General features: G+C 40.9%; 1 protein-coding gene across 29 annotated transcripts in view, besides 1 other annotated feature; it reads right to left on the bottom strand.

Moving 5' to 3' along the window:
- The window catches only part of BICD1 (BICD cargo adaptor 1), a 276,787-nt gene that overhangs the window by 68,687 nt on the left and 190,234 nt on the right, over positions 1-17,866 (bottom strand). For 25 of the 29 annotated variants that reach the window (NR_148725.2, NM_001354186.2, XM_011520814.4 and 22 more), the window contains exon 4: positions 8,825-9,250. The exons of 1 other annotated variant lie outside the window; for it this stretch is intronic. Coding sequence is in view for 27 of the 28 variants with exons in the window: in NM_001354186.2 (NP_001341115.1) it covers positions 8,825-9,250 (426 nt within the window). In the remaining variant the exon portion in view is untranslated. Of the gene's footprint in view, positions 1-5,773; positions 7,364-8,824; positions 9,284-17,866 lie in introns of those variants that run through there. 3 more of the 29 variants (NM_001413168.1, NM_001413170.1, NM_001413173.1) reach the window with 2 other exon arrangements.
- Positions 16,209-16,380: a silencer, noted in NCBI's record as "fragment chr12:32451501-32451672 (GRCh37/hg19 assembly coordinates)". NCBI's record gives its function as "represses an EF-1alpha promoter that drives an FKBP-Casp9 reporter gene in an ReSE screen in K562 erythroleukemia cells {active_cell/tissue: K562}" and the evidence as "EXISTENCE:reporter gene assay evidence [ECO:0000049][PMID:32094911]".

Raw genomic sequence — 17,866 nt, 5'->3', positions numbered from 1 at the left:
TAGCTGGGCATAGTGGCATGCGCCTGTAGTCCCAGCTACTCAGAAGGCTAAGGTGGGAGGATTGCTTGAGGCCAGGAGAGTCCAGGGGTTTGAGGCTGCAGTGTGCTATGATTGTGCCTATGAATAGCCACTGCACTCCAGCCTGGGCAACATAGTGAGACCCATCTCTTTTAAAAAAAAAAAAACTCCTTTGTACATCAAAGGACACCATCAAGAAAGTGAAAAGACAACCCACAGAATGGGAGAAAATATTTGCAAATCATAAATCACTTTTATGATGAGGGATTTGTATCCAAATCAGTAAAGAACACTTTCAACTCAGAAATAAAAAGACAACCCAGTCAAAAAATAATCTGAATACACATTTTTCCACAGAAGATATAAAAGAGCAGATAAGCACATGAAAAGATGCTCAACATCATAGCCATCAAGGAAATACAAGTCAAGATGATAATGAAATACCACTTCACATCCACCAGGATGGCTATGATTGAAAAGGCACATAATAACAAGTGTTAGTGAGAATGTGGAGAAATCGGAACACTCATACACTGCTGGTGGGGATAAAAAAATGGTACACTCGATTTGTTTTCAAAACTAGCAGTTCCTCAGAAGGTAAAACATAGAATTACCATATGACCCAGCATTTCCACCTCTAGTATTAACTCCCCCGGGAATTAAAACATACGTGCACACGAAAACTTGTACACAAATGTTCATAGCAGCTTTATTGATAATAGCTAAAAAAACAAACAACTAAAGTGTCCATCAACTGATGAATGGTTACATGAAATGTGGTATCTGCATACCATGGAGTATTATTTGACAACAGAAAGAAATGAAAATGAAGTGCTGATATATTACAGCATGGACGAACCTTTAAAATGTTATGCTAAGTGAAAGAAGCCAGTCACAAAAGACCACACATTGTATGATTCCATTTATTTTTATTTTATTTATTTATTGATAGGGTCACGCTCTTTCACCTAGGCTGGAGTGCAGTGGCATGGTCATGGCTCACTGCAGCCTTGACCTCCTCCCAGACTCAAGCAATCCTCCCACCTCAGCGACCCTAGTAGCTGGGACTATAGGCACGCACCACCGTGCCCAGCTAATTTTTTCTGGGTATTTTTGGTAGAGATGGGGTTTTGCCATGTGGCCCAGGCTGGTCTCAAACCCCTGGCCTCAAGCTATCCTCCTGCCTCAGCCTTCCGAAGTGCTGGGATTACAGGTATGAGCCACTGCGCCCAGCTAGTTTGTAATCTCTAACTATAAAATCTGTAATAGTTTAGCCATTTGTCAGCTTTGTACTAGGAAATAATTATACTTGTCACTTTAAGTTTCAGAACCCAAGAACTAACCAATCTTGTTTTCATTAATGTCATCCTATAAATATTCTGTGAGTGTTTAAGCAGAGATAATATTTCACTTGTTCGACTGTCTCTGTGTAGCAACTCCACTTACTAGATTTTTGACCTTGAACTAATGACATAACACAGTCATGCCTCAGTTTCCCTATCTATAATATGAAGATAATAATACTCTCTACCCCATACAGTTGTTATAAGCAGCAACCAATTAAGCAAATATATAAAAATTGCTTTGAACTCTTATGGGACATATAGCAAATTACCATCACCACTTAACATCAATCATTATAGAAAAAACTAAAATTGCCTTTAATAGAGTGGATCAAAACATAATATGAATATATTTCTTCCACATCCATGAGGATGCAACAGAATATATTAATTTTAGTTTTACAGAAACATTACTGTTTTCTCATACTACATGTGAAATTATATACCCAGCATAATACTGAAAAAAAAAATCCAAAGAGTTTTCCCCTGCTTAGTTTGACTCTATGCAGATGTAAAGTTAGAGGCTATTTATCAAAGACAGAAATTTCAGCACAAGCATACAGGACACCTTTAAATTGATTAAGTAATTTAGTTAGTATTTCCAGACAGAATCTACTTATTTTCATTCTAATAAAACTAATTAAGGTATTTGACTGCCACTGGAAAATGTCAATTACAACCTATTTGAAATAATGAGGTCTTGAGGGCACCAAAAAACCAAAATAATTTATCCGATAATACTCTGAAAAACTTCTCTCATGAATAAAGGATGACACTCATTGAACTATTCACTATCAAGGACTATTGTCAAGTTTATAGAGACTGAGGTGAATCAAAATGTTTTCTTACTGTATTTTTTGTGTATATGTTTCTGTATTATGTGAAACTTAGCATGATTAGCTAAGTTTAAAATATTCCTGTATTTTATTCCATAACCTAGGAAGGCATACAATTCAGTAAAATATTCACTCTAATTTATTCTGAGAAAAAGCTCTCCCTAATTTAGATACAGGCTTACCACCACTTGCCTTTCCCATACTTTTTATAATTTATGTATTGACCGTTTATACACAGGGATAGTGGGGACCTTCTTGGCATCTCGAAACCTGATGGCAGTTTCCAGGACAATAATAATTTATAAAATGTTATGACTTATACACAGTTTCATATTTACCATCCCATTTGGTCCTCACAATTCTACAGAGGAGGCATGGCATTATCACCAGGGCTTCAATGCAGAAGTCTGCAGGTTGTATGCAAACAACTCCAGGAGGTGCTATTTAAATTGTAGTAGCTATAAATGTTTATACTTGTTATTACCATTTCCCAGCAGATGGCAGTATGATGGCTTCAAGAAGGAGACCTGATTTTTGTTTTGTTTTGTTTTTTCCATAGTTCCAACAAAGGCATGGCAGAGACAAATGGTGGGGCTAATTTATTACCTTCCCCTTTTGAATGAGCCTCAGAGAAGCAAAACAATTCACTCAACATTCCTGATAATTAAGGCAGAGGTGAGGACTAAGATCTGATTTTTTTTTATCTTGCCCAAATTCCTATCTAAGGGGTCTGGGGAGTTCATGCCCTACAAACCATAAATTCTCATCGGATGCGTTTTATTTAACCCTGTATATCAAGAGTTACTTTCCAATCTGATACTGGCAAAGAAAGAAAACCAAAATATATTTCCTTGCCATACCTTGAAATTGCCCTGCAAAGTCTCTTGTGGGAAAAATCCACATTCTGTAGAGAATCCCCTTTCCCCGCTTTGTTTTCCTTCCTTCCTTTCCAGATCCAGGAGATAATCAGCTAAGAGCCAGGCACCCTTCTAAGTGCAATAAGAAACATTTTACAACCTGCTCTCTCTGAAGTCAGCTATCTGAGAGCTTCCTCTGCACAATAAAACTTGGTCTCCACAATCCTTTATCTTAACCTGAACATTTTCTTTCCATTGATCCCACGCCTTCAGACAAACTCAACCAATTGTCAACCAGAAAATGTTTAAATTTACCTATAGCCTGGAAGCCCCCGCTGTGAGCTGTCCCACCTTTCTGAACCAAACCAATGTATTTCTTTCTTTTTTCTTTTTTTTGAGACAGAGTCTTGATCTGTCGCAGGCTGGAGTGCAGTGGCGCGATCTCGGCTCACTGCAACCTCCGCCTCCTGGGTTCAAGTGATTCTCCTGCCTCAGCCTCCCAAGTAGCTGGGACTACAGGCATGCATCACCATGCCCAGCTAATTTTTGTATTTTTTTTAGTAGAGATGGGGTTTCACCATGTTGGCCAGGATGGTCTCAATCTCTTGACTTCATGATCCACCCACCTTGGCCTCCCAAAGTGTTGGGATTACAGGCGTGAGCCACCGCACCCGGCCCAATGTATTTCTTAAATGTATTTAATTGATGTCTCATGCCTCCCTAAAATATATAAAACCAAGCTGTACCCCGACCACCTTGGGCATATGTTCTCAGGACCTCCTGAGGGCTATGTCACAGGCCATGGTCACTCATACTTGGCTCAGAATAAATCTCTTAAAATATTTTACAGAGTTTGACTTGCTTCGTCGACAGAGGCATTTTTTTTTCCTGGAACCAGGTTAAATAAATACCTATGGATGGGAAAACATAAATCATGGGCATACATTGAGCCTTGTAGGAGAAGAAAAGGCCGAAAGGGTATATGGACTAGGTATACTGTTTTCAAAGGAGTTCTTTAAAAACAAATTAATGTATTTATTTTAACTGACAAAAATTGTACATATTTATCATGTACAACATGATGTTTTGAAATATGTAGGCAAAGTGGAAATTGAGCTAATTATGACATGCATGACCTGACATACTTATCATGTTTGTGGTGATGTAACTGAGCCTATATTATCAAAATCATTAAACGTTTGTTTTTTACTTATTTTCCTTTCTCTTTGTCCTTTTCTTCCTCCATGCATGACTGCTTGCACGTAGTCATTCGGTAGACGGTAGTCACTAATAATTGATTAACTTTGCATCCTAACCCTGGCAGCCAGTAAGATTAATGAACTTGTTTTCCTTTCAAAGAACAATGATCCTTAGGTCATGCAGACCTCCTTGATGGCATCCAGAAGTCTGATTGAGCTGCGGGACACAAACAACTTTGATCATTGGGGGATTTCATTCTCCTGCACAGCTGCCTTACTCACAAAAACCCCCAGTTACGTTCAAAGGCAGGTAGGATTTGACCGATTGCCTCTCCCACAATGTCATTTTTGGAAAAATGAATACACCTTTCTCTGCTGCTAAGCACTGATGTGTCAGTATTTGGCTTACTGCCCATCCAACACGTGGACCTACATTTAGGGGTTCTACAACACTGAGAACACTTAAAATCTACTCTTTTATTTTCAATACAATACATTGTTATTAACTACAGTCACTGTGTTGTACTATAGATCTCTTGAACTTACTCCATCAAAGGGGTACTTGATCAGAAGGAAGAAAACCTGAACTGCTGCATATCACCTGGTTCAGGGAGTTACAGCCTTGCCTGTGCCCCTCTACACTGTCATGAGCTGTTAGCTAAGCACAGCTGTTGGATTAGAGGCACAAGGCGGCCTCTCCCATGCAGTGTTTTGGATCCAGGCCAGGAGAAATCCTAAGAGATAAAGGAACTATGAAAATACAAACTGTCAGGGATAGCATTAGGAGATATACCTAATGTAAATAACGAGTTAATGGGTGCAGCACACCAACATGGCACATGTATACATATGTAACAAACCTGCACATTGTGCACATGTACCCTAGAACTTAAAGTATAATAATAATAAAAAAAAATGAAAATACAAACTGTCACGTTCCAAGTATGTTGACACTGTAAGCTGAGGTGCGCAAAACTGACAGCCGCCCAACAGGACAGTGCTATTCCTACAACGCCTGCAACTGCAAAATCCAAAAAGCTCGAAATCAAGTTTTATCATAATTCACTTGATTATGATAAAACTCACTTGGCAGTATTCAGACAGTCCTAAACTCCCAGGGCAGCCAAACTGCACCTGACTGGTGTAAGGCCTTTAATGGTCCTCATCTTATTCTTAGTGTGAATACTCATGTTTCACTGCAGAAATGTTAATATTATTTGATCACCGGATGCTGCATCTGATCCCAGTGGAGATATCACAATCTATGTGGTATATGCTGCATATTACCTTTCTACAATCTGAAACCTGAATTTTTAAAACACACCTGGTCCCAAGCATTCCAGATAGCTATACTTAAAGTACATTTGATTGGTTCCTCTTCATAATTTCCAGAACAATGGTACTGACACATATATGCTTCAGGTGCACAGTACTCTCATTGATCAGACTTGCCATATTATTTTTAATCCTTATTAACATCAAAGCCAATTACAATAAATTCTAGGCAATGTATCCTGTAATGTTTTTGTAATGTGTTTATTTACATAAATTTAACCCAAAAAGATGTGTGGCTAAGGAAAAAACTGTATTGCAAAAAAATAGTTCATGAGAAGGTATACTTCTCATGAATATACTTGTTTGAATAAAATATATTCTTAGGAAAAGCTGACATGCTTTTTAAAAACGCTGATTACAAGAAGATAAATGGATATTCTACCTAAAAAAAAATTTACAGTTAGTGTTGTTAGTATGAGATTGGAAGCTGCAAAGCCCTTCCTGTGTTGAACCTGGTTTTCACAACTAAATCTGGAGCAAACTTTGGGATATAAGGACCTACCTGCGCCCCTCTACATCTTTGCAAACTGTCAACATCAGTTAAGGGTTGAAGAAAGATTTGAAGGGACACAGCTTTCTCAATAGACTGATGGAGGGTTTATCCAGCAAAGTTTTTCTCACCCTAACATTTTGCTAAATGAATATCCTTTTTCAGACCTTCTTGCACCATGAGACTTAACTGTTATTTTTCTATATTCCTACCAGTATCCACATCAGTCCCTTTTGGGGTGATTGGCCTTGAGCTAATAGCCCAAAAATAATAGTTAATAATAATTATCTAAATTATTATAAAGTGAGTGCCTAATAAATTAAAGGACCAATGGAGTTGAAATAATGATAACAGTTCATAATTAATGAGCATTTACTGTGCACTAGTCCCTGTTCTCAGCACTCTGCATATAACTCATAAACCTTCATGACACTCTAACGAGGAAGGTATTATGTATCCCATTCCATGGGAAAGTAAAGTGCTGTCCTCTAAGAATGACTGTCAACTAGTGGCTGACTCTCAGAGCATTTGAAATACATGGGGAGTTTCTGGTCATCACTTCAACTGAGGAAATGTAACCAGCATCTCATGAGTTGGGATCAGAGACGCTAAACCTTCTCAAGGAAGAAAACATTCTCTGGCAATGAGGAACCGCCTAAACCAAACGAAAACGACAGTCTATTGAGAACTCAGGAGAGCCAGTCTCCAGCTGAGTACTTACTTGTTTTCCACCATTCTTTTAATTGAACTTTTCATCTTTTTTAGACTTTTGTATTACCCAATTCAGATCACATTTAGAATTAAATCTGAGCACAGCTCTGAGCTTTCAGCCAATAGATGACCTGCTTGAAAATTGTTGTGCTGTTTCATGCATAGAAGCCTCTTTTCCTATTATCTTCTGCACTGCCACCAAAACAAAAGGAATAAACAAAAAGCCTGAACCCACTAACTTTTTATCTCAAAGCCACCAATATGAGAGTTAAACAAAACTCATAAAACTTCTATTTAATGGTATTCAATCTGGGGGGCACAAATTCTTATGAATACATCTGTCATGTAAAACTTTTTCACAAGGAAATATGTTTTCTGTTTCAATCAATCTAGTCATATTAGTGTAAACTGAGCAAAAAGACATAGAAAATAAACCTGTTAACAAATCAACATCATTGGCTCTCTGTTCTCTTACTTATTTCTGCTAATTTCACTTTTCCAGTCATCATTTCCGTGGAGGCAGATGACTGCCAGAGGCTTAACAGCCTCTAATTATCAGCTATACATGAAGAACCTTGGAGAGATAAGATTGAGATTGAAGATTAAGCCTCAAATTTAATCACTTAACAAGCTTGTTATACCAGATTTCTAGTTCAGTTTCTAGTTCAGTAGATCTACACGGAGCTCCACAATTTGTATAAATAAGCCCCCAGGTGATGGTAATGCTGCTGTTTCTTAAACAACATTTCCATTACATGTGGCAGGAAGGCAAGACTCTAAACTAGAAAGCGATTTTTTCAAGGCTGGGATCTTCACAAGACATTTGTTTTGAAGACGCTAAAAATTTAAGGTTTAACTCATGTTGCAATAAGAATCCTTTGGTCTTAGATTATACCTGTTCTGTATTTTTAATCATACGGTATCCTGGATAATTTGTACATAGGAAGTCCTTTACGTCTTTTAAGGCTTCAAGTATTCCTGTGAAATGTAACCATAAATCTGGAAGCTATAAACACAGTTGCTTGTGATGAAAAACTGCATGGTTTCCATCATTTTACTTGTATATAAAGCTTTTGAATTCTTTTGTTAATCAGAAATGCATTAAGGCTCTGTCTTTTCTTTTTTCTTTTTCTTTTTTTTTTGAGATGACGTTTCACTCTTGTTGCCCAGGCTGGAGTGCAATGGCGATCTCGGCTCACTGCAATCTCCACCTCCCGGGTTCAAGTGATTCTCCTGACTCAGCCTCCTGAGTTAGGTGGGATTACAGGCACCCACCACCACGTCCAGCTAATTTTTTGTATTTTTAGTAGCGATGGGGTTTTACCATGTTGGCCAGGTTGGTCTTGAACTCCTGACTTCAGGTGATCCGCCCGCTTCAGCCTCTCAAAGTGCTGGGATTACAGGTGTAAGCCACCGCGCCCGGCCCAAGGAACTTTTTTCTGTCTTTTCTCAGACTTCATTGGAGCTCAATTTGTGGCTCTCAGAAGTTCATTTCTTGAAGTGATGCAAATGAGAGACTGCATTTCTCTTTAACGCTCCTTCTGTCATGTCTTTCTAAAATACTGCACTTTCGAAGTTTCTAGCTGAAGAAGCAATATTTAGAAAAGAAAGCTGGGGCTGGGCGCGGTGGCTCACGCCTGTAATCCCAGCACTTTGGAGGCCAAGGCGGGCGGATCACGAAGTCAGGAGATCGAGACCATCCTGGCTAATACGGTGAAACCCCGTCTCTACTAAAAATACAAAAAAATTAGCCGGGCATGGTGGCGGGCACCTGTAGTCCCAGCTACTCGGGAGGCTGAGGCAGGAGAATCACTTGAACCTGGGAGGCGGAGGTTGCAGTGAGCCGAAATTGCACCACTGTACTCCAGCCTGGGCGATGGAGCAAGACTCTGTCTCGAAAAGAACAGAAAAGAAAAGAGAAGAAAAGAAAAAAGAAAAGAAATCTAGAAGTGAAATGCGAGAATCAGAAGTCCCACAACATGCTACCTGCAATCTACAAGAAATTCACTCTAGCGGCCCTAAACAAAGTTCTTACCTGCATAAGCTGCTGCTTCAACTTCTGTATTTCTGAAATGTTCAGCTCACTGAATAAGTCAGAGACAGGGTTCAGAGACTCTCCTTTCCTTAAGGTGGGAGTCCGATAGTCTCCATTCAGTTTCACAAGAGGCCCATGGATATGACCGTTCATTTTGTCATCATTGTTTGGTTCACTCCCATCCTCGGCAAATTTGAGTCCATCTACTGAGATGCTGATATGGTTATCATTGAGGCTGATATACTGGGAGAGCTCCTTCCGCAGGTTGTTCTTTTGCTCTCTTTCATTTTTTAAAGTCTCGAGGGCTTCTTCCAGTTGGTGCTCAGCAATCTCTTTCAATCGGATGGCATCTTCCAGCTGGCTGTTCAGCAGTACCGTCTCCTCCTCAAATCGCTTAATCTCATGCTTTAAGCCTTCGTATTCAACCTGAATCAGACAGGATAAAGAAGATTCATAAAACTAAAATGTGGATCTTACAAAACTGCCATTAAACACTCTAGTGGACCTAATCACTTAACAAAATACAACATGAGTCTAAAAAATAAATAATAAAAAGCACACAATATATCCTTAAAGTTATATAGGATAGTTTCTTTAGAAATTATATACCATATATAAAATATATAATTAGGTATTATAGTGATATAACATAAATGTTATATATAATTAGATCTAATAATATACATCTATATAACTCTCTATATAATTCAATTTTTAGCAGAGATGAAGAGTCTATTGTCTTAGGATTTCTTTCATAGGATCCAGTGGTCAAAAGGGGGCACTGTTTGCCCAATAAATAGGGAATATTTTTTGTAATAACTTATGAGAATATTTGCAATCTAAGAAAAGATTGTATCATCACCATTACTTTGTTTTATTTCCTTATTAATAATGAGGAAATTTTTATACCCAGAGATAAATTTGTTAACGATTATAATAACATAATCTCAGTAAAATGTTTGAGAGTAAGATGAAAATGCAAAGATCATTGTTATGTGCTTAAAGGATAGACAGAATCTGAAAGAACAGTTACATAAACTATCCAGTAACAAAAAATACCTACATTGCTTTTGTTTGTTTGTTTGTTGGTTGGTTTGTTTTGAGAGAGGGTCTCGCTCTGTTGCCCAGACTGGGGTGCAATGGTATGATCATGGCTCACTGCAGCCTCAACCTCCCGGGCTCAAGTGATCTTCCCATTTCAGCTCCTCAAGTATCACAGGCATGTGCCACCATACCTGGCTATTTTTTTTATTTTTTATTTTTATTTCTTGTAGAGACGGTCTCACTGTATTGCCCAGGCTGCTCTTGAACTCCTGGGCTCAAGCAATCCTCTGGCCTTGGCCTCCCAAAGTGCTAGGATTATATGTGTGAGCCACTGCACCTGGCCATATGTTGTTATTGAGGTAATATTCTTTTGAAATGCAATAAAAATAAACCTCCTCAAACAATCTCTTGGTCATGAAGGCCCACGGGTGACAGGGATGTCTCCTCTGAGCCGACATGCCTCCTTGGGATCCTTTCCATGGCACTTATCACATGCCACCTTTTAAGAAACATTTTATCTCCACAAGTACACTGTAATCTCCTTAGAGAAAGTAAGTACTTTTTTATCCACCTCATTGCTCCTCATAGTGCTTCAGTGTTCCTTCATGGTGTTTAAAACAGAATTCTGCTGTTCAATGTGCATTTGCTGAATAAAGAACTATGGAGAATGAAAAAATAAAGTAGAAAAAGTAAAATAAAGTCATCATGATATTAGATGCTAATACAAACTATGTGCTTAGTTTCATATTTATTTTAGCATATATATTAGTTTGAACTTGAATTTTAAAAAATATTTTAAAAACTGAAGAATAGGGAACATTGACCAGTATCATCATCATATATTTCTCTTTCTCCCCCAACTTCCCTTTATATAATCTCAATGCAATGGTTTGTCTCGCAAAGGTTAGGGTAGAGATTTAGTTGGGATGTAGCCTGGCTGATGTAACAGACACCTAAGCAAGAGTGACTTAGTCAAGATGGAACTTTTTCTATTTTTTTTTTTTTGAGACGGAGTCTCGCTCTGTCGCCCAGGCTGGAGTGCAGTGGCGTGATCTCGGCTCACTGCAAGCTCTACCTCCTGGTTGACGCCATTCTCCTGCCTCAGCCTCCTGAGTAGCTGGGACTACAAGTGCCCGTCACCACGCCTGGCTAATTTTTTTGTATTTTTAGTAGAGACAGGGTTTCACCATGTTAGCTAGGATGATTTCAATCTCCTGACCTTGTGATCCACCCACCTCAGCCTCCCAAAGTGCTGGGATTACAGGCGTGAGCCACCACGCCCAGCCAGAGGTTTTTCTCTTATGTAACAGTATGGAGGTAGACAGGAGGAGATTCCTCATGGAATCTCTGCTCCATGAGGTCATCCAGGAGCCAGGCTCTTCCTCTGTTGTTGTACAGCCTTCTAGTCTAGACCATACTATCTCAGGTGGCTTGCCATTTGATCATGTTCTAAGCGGTGGCACAAAATAAGGAGCACACTGTCTCCCTTTAAGGACATTAAAAGTTACCCACATCACTTGTTATATATCATTGGCTGGTACTAGTCTTATGCCATTTGGCTGCGAGGAGGAGTGAAGAATGTAGCCTTTACTCTGGGCAGCACTGGGCCCAGGAAAAAACTGAGAAATACACCGTCAGAAGGGAACAATGAAAGCTGATGGTAAACCAGCACTCACTGGTCACCGAAACACTGTGGTGCTCTAATAGGATGCAACTCATAAAGACATATGTATAGCAGATGTTTCTAACAATGCCAGTTGTATATGTGAATATGGATAGTGTTATTTCAGTGAAAGAATGTGCTCACCACACTATGGTGTGTGAAATGCATTATGAGGACTGGGCACGGTGGCTCAGGCCTGTAATCTCAGCACCTGTAATCTCAGGCCTGTAATCTCGGTGAATTGCTTGAGCACAGGAGTTTGAGACCAGCCTGGGCAACATAATGAAACCCTCTCTCTACAAAAAATAAGAAAATTAGCCAGGTGTGGTGGCGTGCACCTATAGTCCCAGCTATTCGGGAGGATGAGGTGGGAGGATCACTCGGGCCCAGGGAGGTCAAGGCTGCAGTGAGCCCTGATGGTGTCACTGCACTCCAATCTGGGTGGCAGAGTGAGGCCCTGTCTTGAGGGAAAAAAAAAAAAAAAGAAATACATTATGTACAAAAGATGCCTCTAAGGCAAAAAAAAAAAAAAAAATGGTCATTGGAATTTCAACATGTCCCTGATAGAATTACTCAAAAGAGTCAATATTGGAGACCATTATTTATAATATCCATTATTTAGAATGAAAACTAGAAAGTGCTAATTGTTCTACCATGAATATGCATTTGAATAAATATAACAAAAAATTAACAAATCTATCAATGGCATACTACCAATAACTGTCTTCTAATCAAGTAGGAGTTTCTGGGTTACATATCAACTACATTACTTAAGATTATGAGTACTTCATGGGAGAAAAATTGCACTTTGGGAAAAATGATAACTGGGCACTATAAATAGCATGTTACAAACATGATGGCATGGAAATGAAATATACTTTTCACAACTCCAAGGAGTTATTACCTGGCCTGGGACACCTAATAACTTGACAGGCCCTGGCTATCTACTACCTGCTCAAAGGCATGTGTCCCTGTAGTTTGCATTCTGTACTCTAGTGGGCTCCCCAGGCTGGTGTGTGCTCCCGTGTCCCTTCCACCAATTCAGACATCAAATGATTTAAAGCAGAGATCACAAGGGGTGCCCATAGACCATCGAGCCTATAGATGTGCTTTATTTGGCTTGTAACACGTTATAAAACTTTTGGAATTGATTGCCAATATTTAGAAAACTGATGATTTCACAAACATTTGAAAACTTCTGATTTCTTTTTTAAAAAAATCAAAAGTTCGGGCTGGGCTCAGTGGCTCACGCCTGTAATCCCAGCACTTTGGGAGGCTGAGGCGGGCGGATCACGAGGTCAGGAGATCAAGACCATCCTAGCTAACACAGTGAAACCCCGTCTCTACTAAAAATACAAAAAATTAGTGGGGCGTGGTGGCAGGTGCATGTAGTCCCAGCTACTCAGAAGGCTGAGGCAGGAGAATGGCGTGAACCCAGGAAGCAGAGGTTGCAGTGAGCCGAGATCGCGCCACTGCACTCCAGCCTGGGCGACAGAGCAAGACTCCGTCTAAAAATAAGTAAATAAAAATAAATAAATAATTCAGGCAACACTGGGCCCACCTTCACAGAGCACAAAAATCACCTGTAAGTGAGCACTGGCTGTTCCTTTTCCATCTACTTTTTCTTTTGTTTGTTTGTTTGTGACAGGGTCTTGCTCTGTTGCCCAGGCTAGAGTACAGTGGCTTGATCACAGCTCACTACAGCCTTGATCTCCCAGTCTCAATCAATCCTCCCACCTCAGCCTCCTGGGTAGCTGGGATTGCAGGCGCATACCTCCATGCTTGGCTTTTTTTTTCTTTTTGTAGAGACAAGGTTTTGTACCATGTTGCCCAGGCTGGTCTCAAACTCCTGGACCGAAGCAATCCTTCCACCTCAGCCTCCCGAAGTGCTGGGATTACAGGCGTGAGCCACTGCACTCGGCCTCTACTTTTTGTTTACATCTTGTACTTAATGCTATTTATAAGCTGCTTGTGGTCATTTGAGTTCACTGCTCCTGCCCTGTGACTGACTCTCTCCAACCTTTTCCACCGAGCAAACAACCTTTCCCACACTAAAGCATCCAGTCACCTTTCCTTTATACTTGCTGACTGACTGCATTTCAACTAGGTTGTTACTTCAAGCAAAAACATGCATTTTTTACTTTATCTCTGGTAGTGAAATGAAAGGTTCATTCTCTGATTATAGGAATCTCAATTTGTTAGCCAGGAAGCAGGGGGAAACTGAGGATGAAGTGTGGAGGAAGAGAGGAATCCAGAAACGCATGCTCAACATGATTTACTGCTTTGCAGGTGACTTGGGATGAAGGAGTATGGAAATCAGAAGGGCCTTTACCTCCTTATGAAAGGAGAAGCAAGGATTGCCCTCAGTGTGGTTATAAGAAAGGCAACTTGGAAATTGCTTCAGACAGCAGTGTGTTTCCTTGTGTCATGGTTTCTTTCAGGCCTGCTTAAATACTGTAAAGTTGGGCCGGGCGCAGTGACTCGCGCCTGTAATCCCAGCACTTTGGGAGGCTGGGGTGGGTGGATCATGAGGTCAGGAGATCAAGACCATACTGGCTAACACAGTGAAACCCTGTCTCTACTAAAAATACAAAAAAAAAAAATTTAGCTGGGCATGGTGGTGGGTGCCTGTAGTCCCAGCTACTCAGGAGGCTGAGGCAGGAGAATGGCGTGAACCCGGGAGGCAGAGCTTGCAGTGAGCCAGGATTGCTTCCACTGCACTCCAGCCTGGGCAAAAGAGCTGGACTCTGTCTCCAAAAAAAAAAAAAAAAAAAAAAAAAAAAATACTGTAAAGTCATCTTCCTCTCAACCCTTTCCTTTTCTTTCCCTGGACAACATAGGACACCTCTTGCCAACCTTTCCTAGTATTTCAACCAACCCTCTGACTGCCCCAGATTATGTGATAAGCTTATATTTGCAGACATTACTTTAGTTTGCATTGTAGACCTGTTTTGCTGCAATCTTTGTTAAACTGATGGCCTAGACCAGAGGTTGTCCAATAATAGTATGTCCTGGCTGGGCACGGTGGCTCATGCCTGTAATCCCAGCACTTTGGGAGGCCGAGGCAGGAGGATCATGAGGTCAGGAGATCGAGATCATCCTGACTAACACGGTGAAACACCGTCTCTACTAAAAAATACAAGAAAATTAGCCAGGCATGGTGGCGGGTGCCTGTAGTCCCAGCTACTTGGGAGGCTGAGGCAGGAGAATGGCGTGAACCCGGGAGGCAGAGCTTGCAGTGAGCTGAGATCGCACCATTGCACTCCAGCCTGGGCGACAGAGCGAGCCTCTGTCTCAAAAAAAAAAAAATAGTATGTCCTCCGGAGCAAATCCAGCCCACCACCTATTTTCGTGTAGACAGTTCTATTGGAACACACTCCCATGTATTTGTTTACATGTTGTCTATGGCTGCTTCTACCAGAGCAGAGCTGGGTAGTCGCAAGAGAGATCATGTGACCTATGAAACCTAAGATACTTACTATCTGGCCCTTCACAGAAAAAGTTTGCTAACTCTGGTCTTGACTTGAAGACATTAATTTAGTTTGCACTGCAGAGTTTAAAATTCAGTAGTATTTATTCAATTGATGGCCTAGACTTCCTGTAAGACCCGATCTCTTGCTATGTCACCCAGGCAGGAGTCCAGTGGCACAATCATGGCTCATTGGAGCCTCAACCTCCTGGACTCAAGTCATCCTCTCGCCTCATTTTTTAAATTGTTTTTTTGTAGAGACGAGGTCTCACTATGTTGCCCAAGCTGGTTTCAAACTCAAGTGATCCTCGTGACTTGGCCTCCTAAAGTGTTGGGATTACAGGTGTGAGCCACCGTGCCTGGCCCTGATCTCTTTCTGTCTGGGCAGCTTCACTCACACCACTCACTCAAATGTGGTACAAGCTCCTACTATTCACCCAGCTGTTTCATGTTTCTCCGCCTGGGAAAAGGCTGTCATCTGGAAAACTCTTATTCCTCTTTTAACACCTAAGTTAAGAATCTCATCCTAACTGAAGTCTTTGGTGCCCACTGAGGCAAACTCATCACTCCTTTCTGTGCCGTTGTTGTAAGGCTGCACCATGTGATTAGAGCCCCAGCAAAGCAGAGGAAGCAAGAAACGGAACAAGAAGGTGCTTAAAAACTGGTGTTTGATATTTTAAAGACAACATCAAAGCAGTCACCATAGGAAAAATAAGTGCTTTATTAGGATTCCTTATGGCAACTTCATAGTTTAATAACTTTATTTTTAACTACATGACGGTCAAGGTTAGATATCATAATCCTTTCAGAGCTTAGGAACTCTAAAGATCTTAATCTATCCCTGTGTTGCCAAACCTAACATGTGGCTTTAATATTCATTTACACAAATTGCTAGGAGTCCCTATTGGGACTACAAGCTCTTTGAGCCAGTGACTGTATCTTTTGTCTCTAAAAAGTACATGATCTCATAGAGAGATACCCCTGAAATACCGGTTAAATGAAATAAAACAACTGAATACATTTCCTAGGTCTTTTATGATATTACCTTATGATATTCTTTTTTTTTTTTTTTTTTTGAGATGGAGTTTCACTCTTGTTGCCCAGGCTGGAGTGCAATGGCATGATCTCGGCTCACTGCAATCTCTGCCTCCCAGGTTCAAGCGATTCTCCTGCCTCAGCCTCCCTAGTAGCTGGGATTACAGGCATGTGCCACCACGCCCGGCTAATTTTGTATTTTTAGTAGAGACGGGGTTTCTCTATGTTGGTCAGGCTGGTCTCGAACTCCAGACCTCAGGTGATCTGCCCGCCTCGGCCTCCCCAAGTGCTGGGATTACAGGCATGAGCCACCATGCCCAGCCTCTTTTTTTTTTTTTTTTTGAGGTGGATCGGAGTCTCACTGTGTCACCCAGGCTGCAGTGCAGTGGCGTGATCTCGGCTCACTGCAACCTCCGCCTCCTGGGTTCAAGCGATTCTCCTGCCTCAGCCTCCTGAGTAGCTAGGACTACAGGCACCTGTCACCACGCCCGGCTAATTTCTTTTTTATATTTTTAGTAGAGACAGGGTTTCACTATGTTGGCCAGACTGATCTCGAACTCCTGACCTCGCGATCCGCCCACCTCGGCCTCCCAAAGTGCTGGGATTCCAGGCATCAGCCATTGCACCCAGGGTGATATTCTTATATATTATTACCTGACATTGGAGGAAATGTTTCATATTAGAAGTGTGACTGAATTGTTGCTTTTTTTTTTCCCATTTTTTTTTTTTGAGACAGGGTCTCACTCTATCGCTCAGGCTGGAGTACAGAGGTGTGATCACAGCTCACTGCAGCCTCAGCCTCCCAGGCTCAAGTAATCCTTCCATCTCAGCCTCCCAAGTAGCTGGAACCACAGGTGTGCATCATCACACTTGGTTAATTTTTTTTGTTGTTGGTAGAGATGAGGTCTCCCTATGTTGCCCAGGCTGGTCTCAAACTTTTGGACTCAAGTGATCCTCCTCAGCCTCCCAAAGTGCTGAGATTACAGGCATGAGCCACCGTGCCTGGCCAGTTTTCTTATTCTTTCAACAAGTATTTATTTAATATCTACTGTGGATCAGGCTCTATCGTAGGTGCTATATGTTAATGGAAGGAAATGGAATGTAAATAGACTCTTTATAGAAAGTAAGAGGTGTTTTTTAAACAATAATTACACTGTACTTAGAAAATAATAAATAACTAAAAGAAAAATAATACTTCAGAAGGGAAAATTCTTTGAACTAAGCATTTTAAAATGGTAGTAGCTTTGCTGTTTAGAGAAACATCAAACCAGGCTGAAGGACTATACAACGTATTGGGAACTTCAGTACAAAGTAACACAGTCCAATTTTGTGACCGAATGCTACTCATTGTCATCTCTTTAAAAAACTCTGTGGCATTTGTACATACAATATTGTACTTAACACTTCATTAATTAGGGCCGGGCATGGTGGCTCATGCCTGTAATCCCAGCACTTTGGGAGGCAGAGGTGGGCGATCACTTGAGTCCAGCCTGGGCAACATAGGGAGGGCAACATGGCAAAACCCTGTCTCAACTAAAAATACAAAAATTAGCTGGACATGGTGGCACACGCCTGTAATCCCAGCTACTCAGGAGGCCGAGTCACAAGACCAGGAGGCGGAGGTTGCAGTGAGCCGAGATTAAGCCACTGCATTCCAGCCTGGGTGACAGAGCAAGACCCTGTCTCAAGAAAACCCCAAAAAACCAAAAAACTTTATTGATTAGAGAGAGTTTATGATAGATGCTAGCATCTATAAAGAAAGATCAGTTACTACTGGAAACAAACACAGCATTTTCTTAGCTGGGAGAGACTTGTGGCATTTCAGTTCCCC

This window comes from Homo sapiens, chromosome 12 (assembly GCF_000001405.40).
Source record: "Homo sapiens chromosome 12, GRCh38.p14 Primary Assembly".
NCBI lineage: Eukaryota > Metazoa > Chordata > Mammalia > Primates > Hominidae > Homo > Homo sapiens.
The sequence above is the reverse complement of the archived record's forward strand: the minus strand, read 5'-3'. Positions and strand labels throughout refer to the sequence as shown.